The sequence below is a fragment of the Homo sapiens genome, chromosome 1 (genome assembly GCF_000001405.40).
Source record: "Homo sapiens chromosome 1, GRCh38.p14 Primary Assembly".
NCBI lineage: Eukaryota > Metazoa > Chordata > Mammalia > Primates > Hominidae > Homo > Homo sapiens.
This window is the reverse complement of record NC_000001.11, coordinates 12,597,910-12,622,359: the sequence shown is the minus strand read 5'-3', so window position 1 is coordinate 12,622,359 and position 24,450 is coordinate 12,597,910. Positions and strand designations below refer to the sequence as shown.

Here is a 24,450-nt window from a genome sequence, read left to right as displayed (position 1 = left end):
CTGGCCTTTGCAGATTTGCTTTCCTGGACCATGGTCCCCATGGGTCCTCTCCCTACAGGGATTTTCCACTCACCTGATGCCTGTTTTCTCCTCTCTGTTGCCTCTGGCCAGGCAAACTGCCCAGTCGGCCATCGCATACAACTCATGTTTTCCCAGGAGCCTGTCTCCACGAAGAGACCCTCCAGGGCAGCTGATGTTAAACTTCGTGGAACACTTTTTTCCACTAGACCAGGCAGTTTTCCAAATCTCCCTGGCTAAACACTGCCAGCTTGTTCTGCTCAGGGGAAAGTAGCCAATTGTCCCGCAAAGCCATGTACGTGTGTGAGTCCACGTGTGTCTGTGTGCACATGCATTTGTGTGTGTCAATCACACCAAGTCATTGGTATTAAAATCCTGCTCAAGAGCTGGAGGAAGGGTCAGGAAGGAGGCAGAACAGCTCAGCAGTGAGCACAGACCTGCTGGGATTTGGCTCCGGTGACTGCAGTCTCTTGGGAGGGGAGGGGAGAGGAAGGAAGGGGCCCCCCATCCCCACCCCAAAGTCCCTGAGCTGGGCACTCATGGCAGCAGAGCTCCAGGTGTCACTGTTCACCCATCATGAGCTGGTGGCCCGTGGCCATCCCTGGCCTGAGTACCAATGGCCTCCTCACTGTTCTCCCGACAACCACTCAGTACCCAGAGCTATCCTGGACCCAGCAGCCTGAGCAGACTCCGAAAACAGAGATTCCATCACATCTGCCTTTGCTCCACAGCCCCCTCCCAAAGGCCCTCATCGCACTGCAGATGAAACCCAAAGTCCTCCTCCTGCCTGCGGGACCCAGCCTCAGCGCTTTTCAAACCTCAGTGAGCAAAGGAGCACCTGGGGATCTCGTTCAGTAAAAAGCAGAGCCTGATTCAGGAGGGCCAGGGTGGGGCCTGGGATTCTGCATTTCTTTTTGTTTTTTTGAGACAGAGTCTTGCTCTGTGGCCCAGGCTGGAGTACAGTGGCACAATCTCAGCTCACTGCAACCTCCACCTACCGGGTTCAAGCGATTCTCCTGCCTCAGCCTCCCAAATAGCTGAGATTACAGGTGCATCCCACTGTACCAGGCTCATTTTTGTATTTTTTATAGAAACTGGGTTTCCCCATGTTGCCCAGGCTGGTCTCAAACTCCTGGCCTCAGGTGATCCGCCTACCTCGGCCTCCCAAAGTGCTGGAATTACAGGCATGAGCCACCGCACCCGGCCTGGATTCTGCATTTCTAACAGGCTTCTGGTCCAGGAACCACAGGGTGAGTGTGGATCCTCGCTGCACCGGGGGAGCTGAGCCACGGAAAAAGTTAGTTCTCCCAACTGCAGCTCGCCTCTTCCCTTCAAGCCCAGAAAGCCTCCTTTCACATTTTCAGGGACAGACCTGGGATGTGAAATTTCAAACTCTGCCCTGAGTTAAATTCCAGGAGAGGGTACAAGAGCAAAGGATAAAGGCTGGGGGAGGGAGGGAAAGGCAGAGAGGACGTGTCCCTGCTGTTCTCACTGAAGCCAGGCCACACGACCCTCAGGGCCAGCCTGCTGAACTGTGCACACACACATCACCCCCACACAAGGTCTCCTTGGCCCCATCTTCCCAGGGACCTCGGGGGAGGGCAACAGAGGAGGTGACAAGTTTCTCTCTGAGCAGTTGATGCTGGGAGAAACGTGTGGCTTGCAGAGCTGCCAGTCCCACAAAAACCACATCCTGAAAGATGGACCAAGTAGAAAAAAAGGCCACCATCCACCTCAGGCCAGCTTCTGGAACTGTCAGTTCCTTTGGGGAATGTCTGACATGTTCTTTTTCCCTCTGATTTCATCCCAAACCTTTTGAGAAGCAGGTTGCGTGGCATTGCACAAGTTACTTAGATTTACTGAGCCTGTTTCCTCCTGCAATAAATGGGCACGAGCCTCCCTGGGCTGTTAAGGAAATTCAATCAGAAACTGTGTAAAGGCCCTGAGGCACTAAAGGCCAATTTGGGTTCCCGACCTCCTTCCCACCGTCTGCCCTCCATCCCAGGCACACAACCAGAGAGATGTAAGAGGGACCTAACGGTTACCCAGCCGGTCTGGCATCTGACCGGGGTGAAAATGCATCTCTGTATATGAGTTGCTTCATATCTTTTGGCTTTAGTTTCCCCAGCCATAAAAGTGTGTTTGGGGTGGGGGAGGAGGACTATGATCTTCACAAGCCCTTTTAGACTTGGGGTGTTAACCTTACATGAGAGAAATGCCTGGAAGAAAAGCATGGCTAGTTAGCAGGAACGCCGCTGGGTTGGAGGCCGGGCAGCTCGGAGGCGCAGTATCCTATCTGGGCCACCAGGCGGCTCCGAGGACAACAGATGAGCAAAGCCCGCTTTTGCAGCCTGGTTCTGTCTTCAGATCTTTCCAGGCTTCTTCGCAGGCCTGGCGGACACCAGCCGCTGCTGGGTGGGAAAGGCCTGTCACTCCCAGGCTGGAATCGCTTTCCCATTTTTACAGACCTCGAAGATGAGAGGAGGCCGTCACCACAATGGATTCCGGCCCTGGGGTCTGATGGAGACATTGGTCCGCCCTTCGGTCAGACTCTTGGGGGCGTTAGGGGGGTGGGGGGGTCTCTGCTCTGCAACCCTTAGCTGAACCCCATCCTCCACTTCTCTCCTCCCGTCTGGTCAGAGTGGGAAGAGGTTTGGATTGGGATCCCCCCTCCTGCACTTCCTGGCTGGGTAACCTGGACGATGGGATAACAGTCCCCCGATTGCAAGGTCAGGGGAAGGACTGTGTCAGAATATAGGCCCTCAGTGCAGGACAGTTGCTCATCCTAAGCCTCTCCTGCCTTTTGCTCTTCCAGTGGCTTTTCACCCAGAAGGAAGATCCTCCCCTGCAGAACCTCTCCCCAGAACTAGGTCTTTGCAGGTGACGAGGTAATCCCAGCCTCCCCTCCCCGCAGATCAGCGTTTTTCGAAGTGACTTTCTCACCAGGCGGAGCATTGAAAGTACCGATCCCAGCGCACCCAGCCCTGCTGAATCAGAATCTCTGGGGGTGAGGCCCAGGAATCGCCGTCTGAACAAGTCGCGGGCTGGAAACGGCTGCCCCAGATTACAGGGCAGCTCCCTGCTTCGCTCTCGCTCCTCCGGCCCCGGGAACGTGCAGGGGGGCGGGAGGCAAGTCCCATCAGCACTTTGAACTGGGGCTGCTTTTTAGTGACTCACCTCCCAGACTTCCTGCAACAGACAACTCTAAATAGCTCGGTCCCACCCTCCAGCAGGGGAGACATTCCGGTCGGGAAGGGCAGGAGGTTAGAAGGTGGGTGCCCCGCCAGGGCAGTCCAGGGAGACCCAAGGACAGGAGACGCTGGCTGCACAGCACAGGGGCGCACGAATAGGACGTTTTGTTTACAGGCTTTTGTTATTAAGGAAATTGGTGTCAGTCAAGGTAATTCTAGCTCAGATGAGCAATAAATATGCTCCCAGCTAATCTTGTGGGGATTTTATTGGCACTCGGAGCAGAGGTTCCTTTACCTTGACTACTCCCTCCCCTCAAAGCAAAGTCCTGCTCCCCAGCGGCTTCCCCCTAAGCATCGTGAGGCACTTGGGTCAGGCTTTTAAAAGTCCACTCTACGTGAACACAGAAGAGGTCCGGGCAAAGGTGAGGAGTGGCTTCCTGATCCTACCTGGAGGCCGAGGATGACCAAATGACCTGAAATAAAACCCTGGGTGACCTGGTTGGATCAAGGCATACGCAAGCTCCCCCGGGCCTGCTCCACACTCGGGGTGATCACCTGGCCCGCGGGCGGCCCGGGCAAGGAGGAACGTCTCGAGAAGGCAGCCGGCTCGCCGGAGTCGGTTCCAGCGTGTTCGAGTTACAGCTGCGAGCCCTCAGGGACACCGGCGGCAAGTCCCGGCTTGCAGAGAGGGGAGCCAGTCCCGGGAGAGCGCGAGTCCCGGCGAGCCCGAGTGCGCGCCTTATGCGCGCTCCCCGCGACGGCGCAGGGGGAGGGGAGGCCGCAGCAGCCACTCAGAGGAACGGTAGTGAAGCCTCCCAACAACTTTAACTGTCAATCAGACTTAATGGGGTATTGAAAAAATGGGGGAAAAAGGGGCCGCCCTCTCCGCGACGCGGCTGCCCGGGGAGCGAATGAATAGGGCCGCGCAGACCAAGGCGTCCGATCCACGCGCGCTCCACACCCGGACCCTCTCCAAGTTGGAAAGGACAAAAAGAAGGCAATAAATGCTAAAAAGGGAGAGAAGGGGAGCTGGATCGAGCGGCAACTCCCAGCCTCTGCTGGAACAGAGAGGGAGGGAGGGAGCCGGAGCGAGCGAGCGCGCGCGAGGGCGAGCGCTGCACGTAAAGAAACTGACACCCGGACCCCCCACTTCTCCTGCACGTTGCTGGCAATCAGATCGCGTTTAAGCAATTTCCTGAGCCCAAGAATAGCAATGAGTCGGGAGACTTTCGCGGGCTGAAATTGGGAGCTCCAAGCACTTTTTCCCCCCACTTTTTTTTTTTTTTTTTTTCTGGAGACGGGGTGGGGGTGGGGGCGCTACAATTTGGAATCAGCTTTTTTTTTTTTTTTTTTTTTTTTTTTAATCTTGCACTTTGAAACCGCGGGACCGAGGCAGGGTGCGCGCGTGTGGTTGGTGCCTTTTTTTTTTTTTCTTCCCCTCCCTAAACTCCTCTGTCAGTCTGTAAACATTACCTGAGAATTCCCCAGCCGAAACGGCTGCTGGGGCAAGAAACTTCTTGTTAGAACTTTCCACCTCCGGCTTCCCCCTCCACCTCTTTTACCGTCCCAACCTTAGGAGACGCTTTTTCTCCCCCAGAGGAGAATTTATCTTTTTTTTTTTTTTTTTTTTCTTTTTCTCACCCGGTGCTTTGCATTTGGGAAGAGGTGATTTCAAGAGTGGCCAGGTGGGACGCCTCTCTCCTCCTTATTCGGTTTACTATTTATTGTTCGGGGTGTTTTTTAATTCCTGTATTGCTCGGCCCGGGGAGTTTCGCCCCCTGCCCGGCTCCGCGGCGCGGAGGATGGTGTGGAAACGGCTGGGCGCGCTGGTGATGTTCCCTCTACAGATGATCTATCTGGTGGTGAAAGCAGCCGTCGGACTGGTGCTGCCCGCCAAGCTGCGGGACCTGTCGCGGGAGAACGTCCTCATCACCGGCGGCGGGAGAGGCATCGGGCGTCAGCTCGCCCGCGAGTTCGCGGAGCGCGGCGCCAGAAAGGTACCAGGCACTGCGACTCCAGGGAGTGGGGGGCCGCAGGGGCGGGGGTAAGCCCACCTGCTGCCGCTGCGGGATCCCGCGCCCGGGAGCTGAGAGTCGCCGGCCACCCCACTTCTCCGCGCCACCCACGAGTGCTGAGCTAGTCGGTTTCACCTTGTAAATTTCCCGGGCACCGGACTGTCTTTTTTGGCAGGTTCAGAGTTGATCCGCTCCTTTGGGATCGGTGGCTGGCTGACTGGCTATTCACCCCCACCCTGAAACCTAAGAGACCCACCATTTCCCACATTCCTGCCTCCCAAAGGAAGGTGTTGTGCCCCCCTCCCCCGCCTTCCCCCCTTTTTCTTGCCGCCACCCTGGTGAGTGCAGGGTGTGCGCACTCCTGGGTAGAGCTGGGAGCCGCCTGCTAGCTGGCGCCTCGTATTTTCCTTGGCAACCCGCTACCCAGCCCCAACCTGGGCGGCTGCAGCTCTGAAGACACGAGAGAGGGTACTTGGTTTGGGTTTGAAAAGGGAAGAGCGGTCTTGTATGCAGTAGTCTGGCCGGACCGACACTGAGAGGCCCAGGTGTTTGGAAAGCAGGAAAGAGGAGGCCAGGGTAAGCAGCTACTGATAAAGAGCCCTTGTTCTCACCTTCAACCCTGTCCCCTCCCCCCCAGTACACCCCCCAGGGATCCCTCCCCATTTAGCTGGAAGGTGGTGCTGCAAGGAGGGTCCTGCCCACCAAACACGGCCTTTAACTTTTTGGTGGTCCTGGCACCCCTTGCTCCAGGTTTTGGAGACCTGGTGCCAGAGTGGGGAGAGTGGGCAGGCTGTCACCCAACTCCCAGCCCAGGCCAGGCTGACTCACGCGGTGACCAGAGCCATCAGGAGAGGGAGGCAGGCCAGGCTGTCTCCAGCCAGCCCTGTGAAGAGGAAGAGCGAAAACAGGGAATTAGTTTGAAACTTAAACTGTTGTGAACTAGGGGGGTGAAAGGGCCGCAAAGCCAGCTGATCTGACATGGAGCCGCATACCTTGGGGATTAAGTAAATATGTACTGTAGAAAACCAAACCTGCATGTAATTCCAGGTTGCTTTTGTTTTGTTAAATACTGCCCTGAGATTTACAATTCCTCCGGGGTGGCTCTGACTGGGACTGAACTTTGGAGCCTGAACTATCAGCCAAAGCCGATCCGATTAACTCTTCCCTAGCCGGGCTGGCCGGAGCCTGTGGTGGCCAAGCTAGCAGGGGTCTGGCTGTCCAGGACTCCCTCTTCTCCTTGGGTGGTTTGGACAGCCGCTTGACCTTGCATTTGGAGGGGGAGTTGGGAAGCGTTTTTAACCCTTGGACACAACGAATAAGGGGAAGTCAGAGTTGTTCTCAGCAGTTTCATTTCCTTGAGGCGATGCCCCATAAAAGGGCTCCTGAAGCTCTTTGTGAAGGGGACTGAAAAGGGCAGATGAGGGTGTCCTTTGGGGCGGACGTGGGGTTTGGGACAATTGCATGTGATTGTCATTCTTTAGCTGTCTGCATCCCACAGAAACTTTTTTCTGAGTCTTCCAGCTGGCCCAAGTCCTGGGTCTCTTTTACTGTTCTTGTAGCTGACTACAGTAGGCAGATGAGGAACTCTTAGTCAATCTGGAAAAACTCGACTGACTATAAACAATCCTAAATTGAAAGAAGTGTATGGCATTGGGGGGTGGGTGTGATAGTACAGAGTGGAGCCTGCAAGTTCACGCACCGGGAACCAAACCCCACCTAACTTGGACTGGACGTCCTCTTCCAGGGAATCCAGCCAGGGCCAATTAGAAATGTGTCTTAAATTGGTGTCAGGGTCACCAAAAACAAAAACAGGATCCATGGGGGCCTGTGAAACTTCGAGTGCCATTCATGCTCGGTTCAGTCATCTGACTTGTCAGGATGACCAGCAGTGCTCCCTGTAACTCGCCATTATCTGACCAATTACTGGAGCTACTTTATAATGAGGCTTCTGGAGCTACTTTATAATGAGGCTTCTGGAGCTACTTTATAATGAGGCTTCTGTTTGCTGTCATGGTGGGGAGTTTGGAATTGTGGCTTCTTGCCTAACACCAATGAGAGGACTTTGGGACAAACCCCCAGAGCCAGGAGTGTTTTGAGGCCTAGTGGGGTTGGGAACAAAGGGTCAAGTGTCGAGGGAGTGGGGAAATTATGGGTTGGGGACAGGTGTGAACAGTGGGCTTGGGGGTGGCCCAAGAGTACTAGACCAGAGAGGTCCAGTGCCACCCGCAGCCTGCAGTGATACTAGACAGGGGGCGGCTGTGTGGAACCACAGATGACATCCCTTCTCCTCTTGATGGAAGTGGAGGCTGCATCTGAGAGCTTCCCAGCCTAGATTCTGGTGGCTGCATCTGAGAGCTTCCCAGCCTAGATTCTGGTGGGACTGGATCTGGGAGGGGGAAGACCCCAAAAAGCAAAAAAAAAAAAAAAAAAAAAGTGTACCAGAGTCTCTGCAAAGAGCTGACGTGTCCAGGAGTTATCTGTTTATTTGGGAAGGAGGGAGAGAGTTGACAACCCAGTTTCCCATAATGACCTTGAGTTAAATAGGATTTGGCAATATTTGTGGGTGGTGGTGAGCCTTAGGGTGCAAAGGTGGCCCAAATAAGCGAGGGTTTTTTTTTTTTTAAAGGCACACTAAGGCTGTAAGAATTTGAAAGCTCCGGACACATCTCTCCTTACCCACAGTGCACTGTGGCAAACTGAGGCAGGGCCAGTCATGGTTAGGGTTTCTAGGCGTAAAGGTCTTGCTTTTTAATTTTCTTTGCCCTCCTAGAATTCCTTCCACAAAAGCATTCACAAACCTTAAACTTATTCCCCTTCCCTCCAAGGGAACTAACTTCTGGCTAGTGGTCAGCCCCGGCTCCAGTCTTTGAGTTTGACATGGTGTTAGCAGGAGCCCCTGAGAGGAGAAGTGGACCGTTCATTTAGAAGTATTTGTAGGGACCATCCCCGCCTTTGGTCTGGTATCCAGCAAGTGGCTGGACGAAAGTCTTGGGCCATGATTGCAAACCTTGGGAGGTGGGGCAACATACGTGGGCCTAATACCACGTCAGGAACTCCAGGACCTTGGCTGGGAGCAGTGGCTCATGCCTGTAATCCCAGCACTTTGGGAGGCTGAGGCAGGCGGATCACTTGAGGTCAGGAGTTCGAGACCAGCCTGGCCAACATGGTGACTCCCCATCTCGACTAAAAATACAAAAAATTATCCAGGCCTGGTGGTAAGCGCCCGTAATCCCAGCTACTCGGGAGGCTGAGGCAGGAGAAGTGCTTGAACCCAGGAGGTAGAGGTTGCAGTGAGCCTAGATCACGCCATTGCACTCCAGCCTGGGCGACAGAGCAAAACTCTGTCTCAAAAACAAACAAACAAACAAAAAAACTCAATTCCCACTTCCGAGAGGTAGTCTGAGGGGAGGTATTTCAGGAAGGTAGTATGGGAACTGGCTTGGAGTTCTGTCTTGCTGTCAGTGAATTTACAGCATGTGGGTAGATAGCCCTGTTCCTACAGCACCCAGCCAGGAACTAGCACTGTGAGTAGATTTATGAACCCCATTCTCCAGCACTTCCATTCAGCAAGTCCTGTGTCCTTCCCATCCCTAGCCCTGGGGCCAGCCCAAGCTTATAAGTCCCTTGACACCATCTCTGAGAGACCTAGCTTAGCAAACCTACCTGGGGTATCTGTTCGGTGTTTGGCACAGCTCTGGGCCTGTAAGAAAATGTAGCAAAGATGAATAAAGACCTAGAGTGTGGCCAGGTGCTTACAGTGAAGGCACAAGTCACCATCTGTATGTGCTTCCTGTGGTTACCATGACCAATTAGGACAAACTTGACGGCTTACTACAACAAAATGTATTCTCTTGTGGTTCTGGAGGCCAGAAGTCTGAAATCAAGGCATCAGCAGGGTTCTGGGTTCCTCTCCACTCAAAAGACTACGGGAAGATCCTTCGTCATCTCTTCCAGCTCCTGGTGGCTCCTGATGCTCCTTGGCTTATGGAAGCATGGCTCCAGTCTCTCCTTTCATCATCCCATGGCCTTCCTTGCTGTGTGTGTCTACGTCCCGTCATCTCCTTTTTTTTTTTTTGAAACAGAGTTTTGCTCTTATTGCCCAGGCTGGAGTGCAATGGCGTGATCTTGGCTCACTGCAACCTCCGCCTCCCAGATTCAAGCGATTCTCCTGTCTCAGCCTTCCGAGTAGCTGGGATTACAGGCGTGCGTGCCACCATGCCCAACTCATTTTGTATTTTTAGTAGAGATGGGGTTTCTCCATGTTGGTCAGGCTGGTCTCGAACTCCCAACCTCAGGTGATCCACCTGCCTCAGCCTCCCGAAGTGCTCGGATTACAGGTGTGAGCCACCGTGCCCACCCCCATCATCTTCTTATAAGGACACTAGTTATTGGATTCAGGGCACACACTAAATCCAATGTGATTGCATCTCAAGATCCTTAACTAGTTATAGCTCCAAAAACTCTCTTTCCAAATGAGGTGACATTCTGAAGTTCTGGATGGGCGTGAAGTTTGGGAGATGCTACACAGTGGAAGCACAGAGGAGCAGTTAATTTATAGCAGGTGCTCATGAAAGGTTTCATGAAGGAAGGAGCATTCGACTGAGCCTTGAAGAAGGTCAAGTGTTTCAACCAGAAGGGGTGTGACAAGGGAAATCTAGGTACAAGAAACCACCTGATCAAAAGCTCTACCTGGCTGGAATTGCGGGAGGGAAGAGGAAAGGGAAGCAAGAAAACATTGTATTGTGGGATAGGGAGGTAAGCAGGGAGTTTACACCTCAGACTCTGAGTCAGGTCAGTACTGGTGAGAATAGAAAAAAAGAGAAAGAGAAGAGAAGGGTCCAGACAGGTCATCTGTGGGTCCCTAGAGTCATCAGGCCAAAACAGCTGCACTAACCAATTTACAGGGAGAGAGCAGTGGCCCATCTCTCCCATCCTCACTCTGTGCAGCCTGAAAGCAGGCAGGTAGGCTACCTGTCCTACCTGTGACATCTGGAAGTGTTTCTGCTTAGAGCATCGGTCACAACTGACCTTACAAATGAGCCTGTCTCATGAATAAACAAACATCTCCTTCTTACTCCCCCAGGCCCTTCCCTTGGGGGAACAAAGGTGTCTACCTCTGGGACCACGCCCCCCTGCAGTCTTGCTCACTTGTGCAGGAGGCCAGAGACTGAGCTTTTATTTATTTATTTATTTATTTATTTTAAAAATAGAGACGGGAGTCTCCCTATGTTGCTTAGGTTAGTCTCGAACTCTTGGGCTCAAGCAATCCTTCCTTCTTGACCTTCCAAAGTGCTGGGATTACAGGTATGAGCTTCCACACCCAGCCAAGACTGGGTTCTTGACCCTGGAAAAGTTACTACCTTCTCCAGGTTGCAGCTGAGAAGCACACCTATAAAATGAGAGGGGTTACAATGATCCCTAAGATCCCGGCACGCTCAAAAATTCTCGTCTTACACATCAGTCAACCCAAGAAAGCAACGGATTGCCAGGCTTCCCTGAATTGCAAGCAGGAGACTTCCAGGTGAAGAAAGCATTTGTCCCCATCACTGATCTCAGCCTTTGCTAGTCATCAGATGCCACCAAATGAAAAAGAAGCAACTCAGAGTTGGAAGATGTGCTGTGCCCCAGCTCCGCAGAGCCCCACACCCATTCAAAACTCCCTCAACAGGTAGCTGTCTGCCATGGATTTATTTCAGCTCTTGCAGAAGACGTTAGTATTTCCAAACTGTCGCTTCTAAAGGAATAAGGGACCCAAATTCCCTGACTAGCATGTCAAACAAAATTTCCTGGTTTTTTTCTTCTAAATTCACCAACTTTTCTATTTGGGCTTTCAGGAATGCCTCCTCCATCTAGCAATACTGACTCTGAGTCAAGTTCATTTTCAGTGCACCCAGCCCTTCTGCTAATTCTCATTTCGACTTCAAGCTCTTCTGAGCTTCCATCTTTTCAGATGAAGCGCACTTGTTTATGGCTGCACAGATCCCTTCCAAGCCCTTCTGATCTCTGTATCTTTGCAGTTACTTTCTCTGGTTCATTTCCATCTTGGTATTTGCCGAGGCCGTCTGCCTTGAGAAAGTGATCTCGGCTGTATTTATGAGGTGTCCTTTCTAACCAGGAAGTGTATCTGGTTGTCACAATCGCTGTAACAAAAGCCCTTGTCTTAACCTGCCACTACCAGCGATATCCTACCACAGTTTTGAGCATCAGTGCGGGATGGGTCCCACACCCTACACGTTCTCCCTTATCCTTGGACAAAAGCATGAACACACCCAGAATTTTATAAGGCTGTGCTCACCGTTGTCTTCAGGAGACACAATCCAAAAATATAAGTCCATAAGATACTTGAAACATTTCAAACATATTATTCAGATGAACCACGAGGATTACGAAACCATTGAAGCCCATTGGAAATGAGAAAAGTGAGTCTATTTAGACACTAGCATGCCCAAATGTGTGCTCATTGCTGTGGCACCCCTGAAATGAGTGAGATCTTAGAATCTGAAAATGAGCACATGCCTAGATTCTCAACAAGAAAGTGCCGGGTTAGCAAATGAATGAATGGTTGGTGGGAACTCATTCATTTATTCACTTATTCATACATTCAGCACATTTACTGAGCACCTACTATATGCCAGGCACTGTTCTGGGCACTGAAGGCATGCAGGGAGCAAAGCAGATGAAAATCCCCACCCATGTAGTGAGAGCTGGCATTTTAGTAAGAGAGACAGATAAAAAGCAAGATCAGTAGAACAGTACATTCTCATGCCTGTAATCCCAGCACTTTAGGAGGCTAAGGCAGGCGGAACACTTGAGGTCAGGAGTTCAAGACCAGCTTGACCCAACATGGTGAAACCCTCCTTCTCTACTAATAATACAAAAAAAAAAAAAAAATTGCTGGGCATGGTAGAGCGCACTTATAATCCCAGCTACTTGGGAGTCTGAGGCACGAGAATTGCTTGAACCTGGGAGGCGGAGGTTGCAGTGAGCAGAGATCATGCCACTGCACTCCAGCCTGAGCAACAGTGGGAGACTCTGTCTCAAAAAATAAATAAATAAATAAAACAGAACATTGAATTGTCATTATAAGCAATGAGGAGAAAACCAATGAGGCAAGAAGGATGGGAATGCGAGGGCCTGAGATTCTAGGTAGGGTATAAGGAAGGCCACACTGAGAAGGAGACACGAGGAAAGACCTGAAGGAGGCGAGGGCATGGTGGGAAGGGAGCAGTAGCATTCCAGGAAGAGGACAGGGCAAGGGCTCTGAGGAGAGAGTGGAGTGTCTGAGGACCAAGAGGTGGCCAGTGTGGCTGAAGCAGTGAGTGAGTGGGGAGGAAGAACTGAGGGAGACAGGTTCCCATGTAGGACAGGTAGACCTAGCTGGCCCCACGACTCAAGCATCATGCCCTCACCCAAGCCTTAGCAGGATCCCCTGGCTGCTGTGACAGGCAGGTGGTGGAGGTGTCAGGCCAGGGGTGGGGGACCTGCTAGGAGGCCGCCAGGTTTCCATGCCTCCTCCAAAAATATCACCCAGACTTGCTTCGCCACCTTCTTTGAGAGCTTCCCAGAGCTCAGGGAATGCTGTCAGCATTGCACTAGAGTTTTGGAGGATGCTGAGGGCCTCCTCTGATATCTTTTACTGTCAAGATGGAAGTGTCTGGGCTGAGGGTAATGGAGAATCTAGGCAGTCCGGGGTGCCACTGTTGGAGGGGGTGGGAGGCAGCTGGCACCCAGCCCTCAGGGCTCTGCTGGGCAGCCCTGCTCCCAGCCAGATCCTGATCTTTCTTGCTGGTAACTTAGGTGAGGAAGTGACAACCAGCTTCAGGGTGACACGGCTCTGAGGAATCGTGACTATGTTGGCTCTGTTCATTGATTCAGCAAACTAGGCCTTGGAGATGCGGCAGGGAACCTCATAAACAAGGTTCTCTCCTTGTGACACTTAGTGTTCTTGGAGTGACCACCATCCCCAGACTGAAAAATCTCCTAACACTGTGGAAGGATGAGTTGGCACCAACAAGCAGGCTTCTAATGGCAGTAGTGCTTAACCCCTCTGAATAAAATCAGATAATTGTGCTGGTGCTTAGAATGAAGGAGATGCTTTTCAGTCCTACTTTGTCAAACGACTTCTGGGGTATTGTGTCCATGTGGGCCAGCACTTTGACAGGGCCCTTGACCAACTGGAAGGTATCCAGGGAGCAGGCTGGGTGACAAGGGCTAGAAGCCATGACTTAGGTTGGGTGGCAAATCCATGGGAGTATAGTTGACTGCTTAAGAGGCAAGAGAGGGTATCAGCTGCATTCCAGTACCACAGAGGCATGGGACCTGTTCTAGATGGTTCTGGAGGCCCATGCTAGGCCCGTGGGGAGGGCTCGAAAATGCAGACCTGGGCCCTGCAAGAGGAACACCTTCCTGCCCTTTGGAACAGGTTGCTCTTTAAGCAAACATGGTGTCGAGATTTCTGCACTGGGGGAGGTTAGGTTCTGGACAACCTCCTAGGTCCCTTCTACCCTTTGATTCTGTGAGTCATTGTCATGAAGTCAGTGAGGGCAATGACACAGGCAGGGGCAGGGGCAGGGGGCAGGAGGAAAAGAGGACACCAGCATCGATCAACCAACACTTGAAAATTAAAAGAAGGCAGCCCTTCTCAGCATGACTTCAGCAGGATCCTCCAGCAGTGATGTCATTCCTTTGTCCAGGCTTTCCAGGGTGCTGGGGAGCAGGGAGGAGGCAAGAGGGTGCAGGGTGGGCACAGACTCACATCCTTCACTCAGGCTTAGATTCCTGTGGCTTCTGAACTGGATGCTGATGGCTTCCTTGCGTTCCTAGTAATATTCATGACCGTGGTACTCTACATGTCTGTGGTACCATACACGATTGGTAATATACGTGACTGTGGTAATATACAAGGGGACTTCAAAAAGGTGGTGGAAAATGGAATTAAAGGATGAAAATAAAAAATATAGGCCAGGCACAGTGGCTCACTCCTGTATTCCCAGCACTGTGGGAGGCCGAGGCGGGCAGATCACTTGACGTCAGGAGTTCGAGACCAGCCTGTCCAACGGGATGAGACCCCATCTCTACTAAAAATACAAAAATTATCTGGCATGGTGGTGCATGCCTGGGATCCCAGCTACTCGGGAGACTGAGGCAGGAGAATCACTTGAACCTGGGAGGTGGAGTTTGCAGTGAGTGGAGATCGCACCACTGCACTTCAGCCTGGGCAACAGAGCAAGACTGCGTCTTTCTCCCTCTCTCCATATATACACACACACACACATACACACACACACATATACACAAATATATATATTTTATTTCTCAACATAAACTTCATCAAGTTACAAGACACTTTTGTAAGCGATGATACCAGCCATCTAGTCCATCCCTAAATAACTGAGGGTCCTGAGAGTTCAGCCATGTCAATACAGTCTTTTTTTTTACATCATTAGCTGAAGAGAAATGGATGCCCTTTGTCTTAGTCCTTTCTCACATTGCTATAGAGAAATATTAGAGACTGAGTAATTTATAAAGGAAAGAAGTTTAATTGACTCACAGTTACACATGGCTGAGGAGGCCTCAGGAAACTTACCATCATGGCAGAAGGAGAAGGGGAAGCAAGGCACCTTCTTCACAAGGCAGCAGGAAGGAGAATGAACTTAGAAGGAACTACCGAACACTTATAAAACCATCAGATCACGTGAGAGCTCCCTCACTATCATGAGAACAGCATAGAGGAAACTACTCCCATGATCCAATTACGGCCACCTCATCTCTCCCTTGGCAGATGGGGATTATGGGGATTATAATTCAAGATGAGATTTGGGTGGGGACACAATGCTTAACTGTATCACCCTTTAAAGATTTTTTAAGATTAAGAAACAAAAGGAAGTTAGAAACAGCCAAATCAGGACTGTAAAGTGGATGCCTAATGATTTCCCATCAAAACCCTCACAAAATTGTCCTTGTTTGATGAGAGGAATGAATGCGAACCTTGTCTTAGTGGAGCAGGACCATCTGGTGAGGCTTTCCTGGGTGTTTTTCTGTTAAAGTTTTGGCTAACTTTCTCAAAACACTCTCATTATAAGCAGATATTATTGTTCTTGTCCCTCCAGAAACTTAACAAGCAAAATGCCTTGAACATCCCAAAAAAACTATTGCCATGACCTTTGCTCTTGGTCGGTCTGCTTTTGCTTTGACTGGGCCATGTCCACCTCTTGGTAGCCATTGCTTTGATTGTGCTTTGTCTTCAGGATTGTAGTGGTTAATGCTTCATCCTCTCTTACAGTTCTTTGAAGAAATGCTTCAAGATCTTGATCCCACTTGTTTAAAATTTTTGTTGAAAGCAGCTGGGCACGGTGGCTCACACCTGTAATCCCAGCACTTTGGGAGGCTGAGGCGGGCGGATCACCTGGTCGGGAGTTCAAGACCAGCCTGACCAACATGGAGAAACCCCATCTCTACTAAAAATACAAAAAAAAAAAATTAGCTTGGCATGGTGGCACATGCCTGTAATCTCAGCTACTCGGGAGGCTGAGGCAGGAGAATCGCTTGAACCCGGGAGGCGGAGGTTGCCGTGAGCCAAGATCACGTCATTGCACTCCAGCCTGGACAACAAGAGTGAAACTCGGTCTCAAAAAAATAAATAAATAAAATAAAATAAAATAAAATTTTCATTGAAAGCTTTGCTCTCATCTGCACCTGATCTGGATGCAGTGGTTTTGGTGCCCATCAAGTGGAAAGTTTGTTCAACTTTAATTTTTCAGTCAGAATTGTGTATGCTGAACCAATGGAGATGTCTATGGTATTGGCTTTTTTTTTTTTTTTTTTGCTGTTAATTGTCAGTCCTCTTCAGTTAGAGCACAAACAAGATGAATTTTTTCTTTCTAATTTGATGTGGATGGTCTGGCACTTCAGGCTTTATCTTCAACATCATCTCATCCCTTCTTAACAAGTTATCCATTTATTAACTACTGCTGATTTCTATTTTTTTTTTTTTTTTTTTGAGACAGAGTCTCACTCTGTCGCCAGGCTGGAGTGCAGTGACATGATCTCAGCTCACTGCAACCTCCGCCTCCTGGGTTCAAGCAATTCTCCTGCCTCAGCCTCCCAAGTAGCTGGGACTACAGGCGCACGTCACCATGCTGGCTAATTTTTGTATTTTTAGTAGAGACGGGATTTCACCATGTTGGCCAGGATGATCTCAGTCTCTTGACCTTGTGATCCGCCTGCCTCGGCCTCCCAAAGTGCTGGGATTACAGGTGTGAGGCACCGCACCTAGCCAACTGCTGATTTCTTTAGGGCATTGTCCCCATAAACTTTTCATAAAGTATCAGTGATTTCACCGTTCTTCCATCTAAGCAAGCTTCACTGTAAATTTGATGTTTGTTCTTGCTTCAGTTTTAGGAGAATTTATGTTGCTCTGATAGGAGTTCTTTTCAAACTGATGTCTTATCCTTCTTAGTGCCTCAAACTAGATCCCATTTAGTCATGTTATAACAAGTTAGTTATTTTGGGGCAAAAAAAATCTCAAATATATGCCTAGTTTTTTCGTAATACGCATTTTCCTTGAACTTTTTGAAGACCCTTTGTACATGATTGTGGTAAAAGCATGAATGTAGGAATATACATGGCACTATTACTATACATGGTACTGTTAATATACATGGGAATATACATGGCACTATTAATATACAGGGTGCTATTAATGACTATGGTACTGTACAGGACATGGTATTGTACATGACTATGGTAATATACAAGATAGATACTGTATATGACCTTGGTAATATACAAGATGGATACTCTACAAGACCATATTAATATGCAAGAATGATACTGTACATGACCATGGTAATATACAAGATTGATACTGTACATAACCGTGGTAATATACAAGACCTATACTGTACATGACCATGGTAATATACATGGCTGTGGCACTGTACATGACTGTGACAATGTGTGTGACGATGGTAACACACGTGACTTGGTACTCTACATGACTGCACAGTGCTTTTGCACATTCATTGTCTTCCTTGACCTTTTTTTTTTTTTTTTTTTGAGATGGAGTTTTGCCAGTCGCGCAGGCTGGAGTGCAGTGGCACGATCTCGGTTCATTGCAACCTCCACCTCCTCCCGGGTTCAAACGATTCTCCTGCCTCCGCCTCCCAGGTTCAAGTAATTCTCCTGCCTCAGCCTCCCAAGTAGCTGGGATTACAGGCATGCGCCACCCCAGCTAATTTTTGTATTTTTAATATAGATGGGGTTTCACCATGTTGGCCAGGATGGTCTCGATCTCTTGACCTTGTGATCCACCCGCCTCAGCCTCCCAAAGTGCGGGGATTACAGGCGTGAGCCACCGCACCCGGCCAGCAGCACGCATTTCTGAGATCCAGGTGAAGTGGCCGTCCTGGGACACGTCGCTGAGGGCAGATTCTGAACCCAGGTTTCCCAGCTTCAACACTCCATCTTTTCCCACTGCAACAAATAATCTCAGCCTGGCCTGGCCTGCCTCATTCAGGGTCATGGAGAGGTCAAGAGACAAGCTGTTAAGTAATGGGGCTTAGTACACAGAGGGTTCTGGAGAGAGCGGTGATAAGCAGTGAATGAGTCAACAGGATGCGGGCAGGGATGTAGTGAAATCCGCTTTTACACAAACATCATTTAGAGCACTGAGTAGCAGTATTTGCATACAATGAATGGGAGACTTGCCAAAGGAATAAAATAGTCCTCAGTTATCAGGGTTTCTTTTAAAGAGTAAACTGACAAGCAGGGTAATAGCACAGTTGAATTTCTTTCATTTGACAACCAGTGTGACATCTTAACATGCAGAGACCCAGCTGCAGAGGAGAGAGTGAGTGACAGCTCCCTCCAGTTAAGCCCGAGGTCACTGAGCTCTGCGTGGCCTGAGAGCTTTGATCACTGTAAATTAAGGGAAATCTTAGAAGACTTCTCGAAGGAGGTGGCAACTGAGGGGGTTGCAGGAACTCTCCATTTTTCTGCTGGTTGTAGAGCCCTTCAAGGGTCTGAAGAAAATATGAACTCTATCCCAGGAAGAAGGTGCAACTGAAAGTTTTGTACTTTTAAGGGGTCATGTACCCCTGTCGCCTATCCCAGACTCTGGGTTAAGAAGGCTTGGACTAGATACAATCAAAACCCATCCAAGTCCTACAGGCTCAGATGCAGGCTCAGGGCGAGAGCTCGTGTGAGAGGCAGGGAACGCCCTGGTATCCTGTGACACTGAAGCCAGGGCAAGCTCAGGGTGGAGAGTACAGATGTGTGGCTTGGTGCTTAAGGCCACCAATGGTCAGCCTGGTGAAGGCCACTGGGCCCCAGCCTTTCTTACCTCATTGGCCATCCCTACTTCAAGGAATGTGGCCTTAAATCCTCTTTTCAGCAGCCTTTCGGGGATTTTGATGAGTGAAGCGTATGATGATCTTGTCCACACTGAAACAGCCTCCTAGGGAACACGGTCTCCTGTCTGCGTCCCACCTCCCCCAACCACTTCTACCAGCCTCCAAGCCCCGCGGTCCCCATGCGGACCTCAGCGCCAGCTGAGGTTCAAGGTCCAGGTTTTCAAACTGGGTTCCGGAGCACCCTAGAGGCCCCAAGAAGGTAGGGCCACGTGGGAGATGGAGCAGGGAGGGTTCTGAGGGACCCCTCCTTCCTGCGGACCAGATCAGTGTTGTCACTTCTGTTTTGTGGCTTACAATTCCATGTTAAGATTTTGGTGTGCATTTTGAAAGAAAGTCATTGTTTTAAAGAAAGGAAAAAAATAAGGCTTGAAAATGATGCTTCAAGGAAATGACTCAGCCCGCTCCCTCTCCTCGATGGACCCTTCTTGGATTTGCTGGATGTCCCCTCTTTAATGACACCTCCACCTTTGGCTCTTTACTCCAAGGTGCTGTGGCTTCTGGACCAAATGCCCTCTAGTTCGCTTGGGCTTTTGCCCCTCAGGAGAGGGACCCACACTCCCACCCCAGATGTGTGGAACCCCTCCTGCCCTCAGCCTCGGCACCTCCTCTACCTCTGGGGTGCCCACAAGCTAGAAGCTCTGAATGCCCAAGCGGGGCTGAGACAGCCTCTCCAAGGGGGACTCAGCCCAAATCCATCTGCCAGAAAGGACACAGGAGGCTTCTCCCTGGCCCTCCCTGCCTCCAAAGCACCCATCCCTGGGAGAGTGTGCCTTGACAACCCCAGCCCCAAAGCCCAGACCTGGCCCAAAGGCAGTGTCACAGCAGCCAAAATCTTTTGGGCGGTAGAGGCCGGCTCCGGCCAGAGCACTCATGCAATTTGTGGTGCCGGCCAGGGCTGCTGGAAACCAGTGCCTAATGCTGTAGATTATGAGGGGCCTCCCAGTGACCTGCTGTGTGACCTTGGGCGAGCAACCCTCTCTGGGCTTTGGTTCCCTCATCTGAAAAATGAAGGTGTGGAAATGTAGTGAAAAAGCTCCTATCACCTCCTGGGTAATGGCAAGAGCGTTTCCAAGAGACAACCACTCCTTCCAGGTGGGGCAATGGCCCTGGGGGTGGGGGGCGGTGGATACCCCCTGCTCCAGCCCTTCTCCTTCTGCATATTAGAGCAGATGCTCAGCAGGACATCAGAGAAAAAAGGCAAAAAACCCACTGGCCTGACTCAACCTTGGTTCTGGGACTCCCCCGGGAAGCAGAGAGTTGTGCCCCTGCCACAGAAGCCCTCAGGGGGAATTGGAGACTTTGACCCTTTCTAGAAGTCTGTGGGAGGGAACCACTCCCTACAGGGAGTCTGGCCATCTCCCTTCCACCCGAGGCCTCACCTCTGTTGAGATGACCCGTGGCACAGCCCCTGTCTTCCCAGGCAGGGGCTGGTCCAACATAGGCCTTTCTGCAACCCAGGGGCTGAGGCTGGTCAGGGGTACAGCCTCCTCTCTGGTCCTGGCTGCCCAACCCCCACAACCATCCAACTTCCCCTGCACAAGGCATTAGTCATTTTGATCTCTGCGTCCAAGTAGCTCAATTGGTCAGGACCGGGCTGCGGTGAGGCCAAAGTCAGGGGTTACCATAGCAACTCACCACGCTTTGTGGCTGCTTGTTGATATCCACAGGGGCAGGGGGCATGCCCTCTCACTCACCAAGTATCTGGCAACTGGCACAGTATCTGGCCCACAGTAGATACTTAATAAATGGTTGTTGCCTAAATGAATGCATGACCGACCCATTGTAGCTAGTTAGAGCCAGTGATTACTGAGCACCTACTGTGTGCCAGGGACTGTTCTAAGCCCTGACACGTCACAAGGTCATTTACTACTCGAAGTAACCTTCCAGCGTGGGTACCGTTATCATCTTCTTCTTACCAACAGGACTCTGAGAGTCAGTAACTTAGAATCACACAGCTAGTAAATGACCCAGCAGGATTGGAACCCAGGGTGTCTGCTTGTAACCAATGAGTCTTGCCTTTTGGTTGATAGTTTCACGGAAGAGATGGCATTGATGGCCCCTAGTGGAGTCCGTAGCCAGGCAGTCTATATGGGTCAAACAACATCACCTCCAGCTTTCCCGATGGGGGCTCTGGAGGTGTTCCTCAGATTGGTTTATTGACTCATGGGACCAGAAGTCCCTGGGTAGGGCTGACTTTGGGCATGTCTCCAGGGGCTCAGTGCTGTCAGGACTCAGGAGAGTTTCTCTCTCCCCTCACTTTGAGGCAGACCTCTCTGCCACGGGGCTGCTCACACCTGCCCCCTGCTGCTCGTAACGTAACCTTTCCAGCTCCCATTCAAGTAGACAGACAGGTGTTCTTTGCCCAGAAGTCCTGGAAGGGTCCAGGAATTGGGTCTCTCTGGCAGTGACTGGGTGAGCCTGAACCAAGGAAATGGTGCTCTATTTGGCCAGCTGTGGGTCATGGCCAGACTCTGAGCCAGGGGTATACCAGCCCCAGCCAAGCCATAGGGTTTGGGAGTCGGGAGGTCGGCTTCTGCAGGGCAGATGGGGGGATACAATGAGCAGGAGCAAGGGGTCCAGTACACCTTCTTGTGGAAGGACAACACTCATCTTCCAGTCATGCCACGTGGAAACAGCCAGGAGAGCCAGGCCTGCCTGTATCAGGCAGCCCTCCAGAGCTAATCCTGCAGACCTTATCAGGTCATTTACTGATGCCTTACCACCGCGCCCCCCAACCCCCCACCCATCTCCCCAAGAAAAAAAAGATAGAATGGACTTTTCAGGGTTGAACTAAAATCTCTGCCTTCAAGGAGATTGTAGTTCAAAGAGGCAAAATGCTCAGCCACCAAAGTCCAGCAGGTTGTCAACAGACTGACTTTGGAAACTTTTCTAGACGATAGATAGAGAGATAGACTGTGATATGAGAGGAAAGGAAGCCCTTTGCTAGGTCATGGTTGCTAGTGATACTTCACAGGTGCGAGAGGCCAGCTCTCCCTCCCCTCCAGCTGCGGGCAGGGGAGCAGAACAGAGATGATATTGGGTCCTTCCAAGGTGGTTGGTGAGGGGGGTCTTCCTTTTAGTGCTCCCACAGCCCAGCAAGCAGTGGCCCCTCTCACAGGCCTGGTAGCAGGTCACCATGGGGAGCTGGGGCCAGTGTGACTGTAAAGGGCAGCGTGACCTTCATGCAGGCAGGCAGTCCTGCCAGACACACCCACATGGCGTCTGTCCACCCTTGGCTGCACGGCCCGTGTTCTTACATCTCAGATGCCAAAGAATTAAGAGTCTGACCTGGCCTCTCCGGGCCACTTCCCTATGAGCACACAGCAGAGGAGACGGGGTCCTTAAGGGATGGCAAGACACAAGGTCAGTGTGGACTGGGCACATGGTGCCCTCCGAGGGCTCACACCTCCTCAGCCAGCAGATCCATGCCTTGGCTTTGGGGATATCTCCTGAGCCTTCAAGTCAGTGGAAATGTTTGTGTGATTGTGTGTGTGTGTGTGTACGTGTACACACACACACACACAGATGTGCGGTTCTTTCTTTCACAAGGAGCCAGTAAAGCATAGAGATTCAGATTTTGAGTTCAGGAGTCAACCACACCAAAGTTCATATGCTGGCTCTTCTATTCACTTGCCGTGTGACCTTGAGCAAGTTACTGGACCTCTCTGAGCCTACATGCCTTGGTAGGGTGGACCATGGCTGAAGGCAGCTGCAAGCACAGACGGGGGCTTCCAACCAGTCTTTGTTGTTAATAAAGTGCTACCCACGTGTTAAACAATTTACATGACAATCTGATTTACTCCTCAGAGCAACCCTATGACACAGTCACTGTTCCCAGTTTAAAGATGGAAATACTAGGGCTCAGAGACGTTAAATACTTGCCCAAGGTCACACAGCCCAGGTAGCCATGGGATTCGAATCCAGGCAGTCTGGCTTCTAGGAAAGGAAACCTGGCTGTGCCTAGGACTGGGGTCTAAGCTGAGGCGTTAAGGATGAGATGGAAGCAGCAGAAGGAAAATATCCCAGGCAGAGGGAAAGAGCAGAGCTAGAAAATAGGAGATGAGAGAGTTTGTTTCCTTTGGGAAAAAGACCCTGGCCTGGCCAGAACAAAAGTGTGAGCAGGGAGTGGAGAGAGATGGCCAGGGCCATACCTCATAGAGCCTGGTGGTTGTGGGGTGAAGTCTGGACATGATTGGGAGAGCACTAGGGAGCCACTGAAGGCTTTCTACAGGATGCACGACCAGCCCACATTACTGGAAGGTGACGGAAGCCTGATTTTCCACAGAATTCTCTGATGTTGGAGGGATGTGATGCTCTCTGAGGACCACGGAAAATCACTTTCTGTGGGGCTGGTGCTTGGGAAAATTCCCGCCTCAACTGGCCCTATGGGCCAAGGGCCTGGCTTTTCTCCCAGCATCCTGGTCTTTGCAGGGTGTGCTGGCCTGGCCATTTCCCATTGAATGTCCCGCTTCCTCTGAATCCCCTGGCCCTCTGGGCCCAGAGCCACAGCCTGATAGCATGAGACCAGTCAGCCGGAAGGGTTAACTCCAAGGCAGTTGACCTTCGTCCTAGCAGAGATTAAACCGATTCCTAATTAATAGCCTGTAGGATAGCTACCTTGGCACAGCTTGCAAGTAATTTAAGGCTTGTCCTTAGAGGCTGGTCCATAAATTACGTTTAATTAGCTGAAGGTCTCCCTGGGACACATCAGCCTGGTGTGTGATTGAGCCTACCAGCTCAGTGACCTCTGAATTTCATGTTGGAGTATGAGGGAGATGCTGAGATACTCCAGTAAAATGTTTATTTCCTTTTCCAAAACAAGAGCTGAATTCTTTCTTCTGCTAGCAGCTCTGAGGGGTACCGCCAACCGGTTTGGGGGTCTCTGCTCAGCTAGTTCCTGGCTTTGCTCTTGACTAATTACTTATACTTCCAGGGTCTCAGTGCCTTGTCTCTAAAAAGAAGCCGAGTTCAAGTCTACAGACCCTTATCTGAAACCCTTAAGGCTAGCTGTGTCTCATAGGTCTGATGTTTTGGACTTTAGAAATGCAATCCAGCAGATAGGCCATATACCTAGTGATGCCCACAGCAAGGTCTAGGGCAGCCACCCGTAATCACAGTGATAGTTACCACAGTGGGATAAAGAGACCAGAACTAGCCTCATGATGGTTCCAATTAGGGCTTGCTCTAAACGCGTGTGTCAAAAATAAATGTAGGATTTTAGAGCTTTTTGGATTCTAGAACGGAGGATAAGGGGCCGTAAACCTCACTGTTGAACTCAGAGAAGCTCCTAAATAAATGCTAATTATGATGAGTACTGTTGTTATTTTTTTTTGTTTTATTTTACTTGCCGAGACAGAGTCTCACTCCATCACTCAGGCTGGAGTGCATTGGTGCGATCTCAGGTTATTGCAGCCTCAACCTCCCAGGCTCACGTGATCCTCCCCAGTGGCCGGGACTACAGGCGCGCACCACCATGCCTGGCTAACTTTTGTATTTTTAGTGGAGACAGGCTTTCACCATGTTGCCCAGGTTACCTGTTGTTATTATTCCTCTTTCCCCTACAGCTCATACGCTGCCATGTCCACTGCCCCTGCACATGTAGAGACTGGATGTGCGGGCAACTTTTAGTTTGGCAGGTGTCACCTGTCTGCTGGGGATGTGTGATACGTTCTTCCTGGAGTGGCTCTGCCGGAGCTGTGTTTGTGTTTCCTGCTGCCTGGGGGAGCGTGGAAGGCTTGTGACTTGGCACGAGGTCCCACTGGGTGTTCCTGTTGGGCACCCTCTGTGCGATGGCTGGGGCTGGCTTCCTGGGTG

General features: G+C 50.9%; 1 protein-coding gene across 4 annotated transcripts in view, besides 7 other annotated features; it reads left to right on the top strand.

Moving 5' to 3' along the window:
- Window positions 2,143-2,394: a silencer, noted in NCBI's record as "fragment chr1:12679972-12680223 (GRCh37/hg19 assembly coordinates)". NCBI's record gives its function as "represses an EF-1alpha promoter that drives an FKBP-Casp9 reporter gene in an ReSE screen in HepG2 liver carcinoma cells {active_cell/tissue: HepG2}" and the evidence as "EXISTENCE:reporter gene assay evidence [ECO:0000049][PMID:32094911]".
- Window positions 2,630-3,261: an enhancer, noted in NCBI's record as "H3K27ac-H3K4me1 hESC enhancer chr1:12679105-12679736 (GRCh37/hg19 assembly coordinates)". NCBI's record gives its function as "activates a minimal SCP1, AML or CMV promoter by ChIP-STARR-seq in naive H9 embryonic stem cells {active_cell/tissue: H9 hESC(naive)}" and the evidence as "EXISTENCE:reporter gene assay evidence [ECO:0000049][PMID:30033119]".
- Window positions 3,262-3,893: an enhancer, noted in NCBI's record as "H3K27ac-H3K4me1 hESC enhancer chr1:12678473-12679104 (GRCh37/hg19 assembly coordinates)". NCBI's record gives its function as "activates a minimal SCP1, AML or CMV promoter by ChIP-STARR-seq in naive H9 embryonic stem cells {active_cell/tissue: H9 hESC(naive)}" and the evidence as "EXISTENCE:reporter gene assay evidence [ECO:0000049][PMID:30033119]".
- Window positions 3,894-4,525: an enhancer, noted in NCBI's record as "H3K27ac hESC enhancer chr1:12677840-12678472 (GRCh37/hg19 assembly coordinates)". NCBI's record gives its function as "activates a minimal SCP1, AML or CMV promoter by ChIP-STARR-seq in naive H9 embryonic stem cells {active_cell/tissue: H9 hESC(naive)}" and the evidence as "EXISTENCE:reporter gene assay evidence [ECO:0000049][PMID:30033119]".
- Window positions 4,150-24,450, top strand: part of DHRS3 (dehydrogenase/reductase 3) — a 50,301-nt gene continuing 30,000 nt past the window's right edge. For 2 of the 4 annotated variants that reach the window (XM_006711036.3, NM_004753.7), the window contains exon 1: window positions 4,150-5,206. In XM_006711036.3, coding sequence (XP_006711099.1) covers window positions 5,012-5,206 — 195 coding nt within the window. In that variant the 5' untranslated portion in view covers window positions 4,150-5,011. Of the gene's footprint in view, window positions 5,207-5,570; window positions 22,000-24,450 lie in introns of those variants that run through there. The other 2 variants (NM_001319225.2, XM_047434406.1) reach the window with 2 other exon arrangements.
- Window positions 17,662-17,956: an enhancer, noted in NCBI's record as "tiled region #11784; K562 Activating DNase unmatched - State 5:Enh". NCBI's record gives its function as "activates a minimal TATA promoter and a strong SV40 promoter by Sharpr-MPRA in K562 cells {active_cell/tissue: K562}" and the evidence as "EXISTENCE:reporter gene assay evidence [ECO:0000049][PMID:27701403]".
- Window positions 17,662-17,956: a silencer, noted in NCBI's record as "tiled region #11784; HepG2 Repressive DNase matched - State 25:Art". NCBI's record gives its function as "represses a minimal TATA promoter and a strong SV40 promoter by Sharpr-MPRA in HepG2 cells {active_cell/tissue: HepG2}" and the evidence as "EXISTENCE:reporter gene assay evidence [ECO:0000049][PMID:27701403]".
- Window positions 19,137-19,322: a silencer, noted in NCBI's record as "fragment chr1:12663043-12663228 (GRCh37/hg19 assembly coordinates)". NCBI's record gives its function as "represses an EF-1alpha promoter that drives an FKBP-Casp9 reporter gene in an ReSE screen in phorbol 12-myristate 13-acetate-treated (for megakaryocytic differentiation) K562 erythroleukemia cells {active_cell/tissue: K562(+PMA)}" and the evidence as "EXISTENCE:reporter gene assay evidence [ECO:0000049][PMID:32094911]".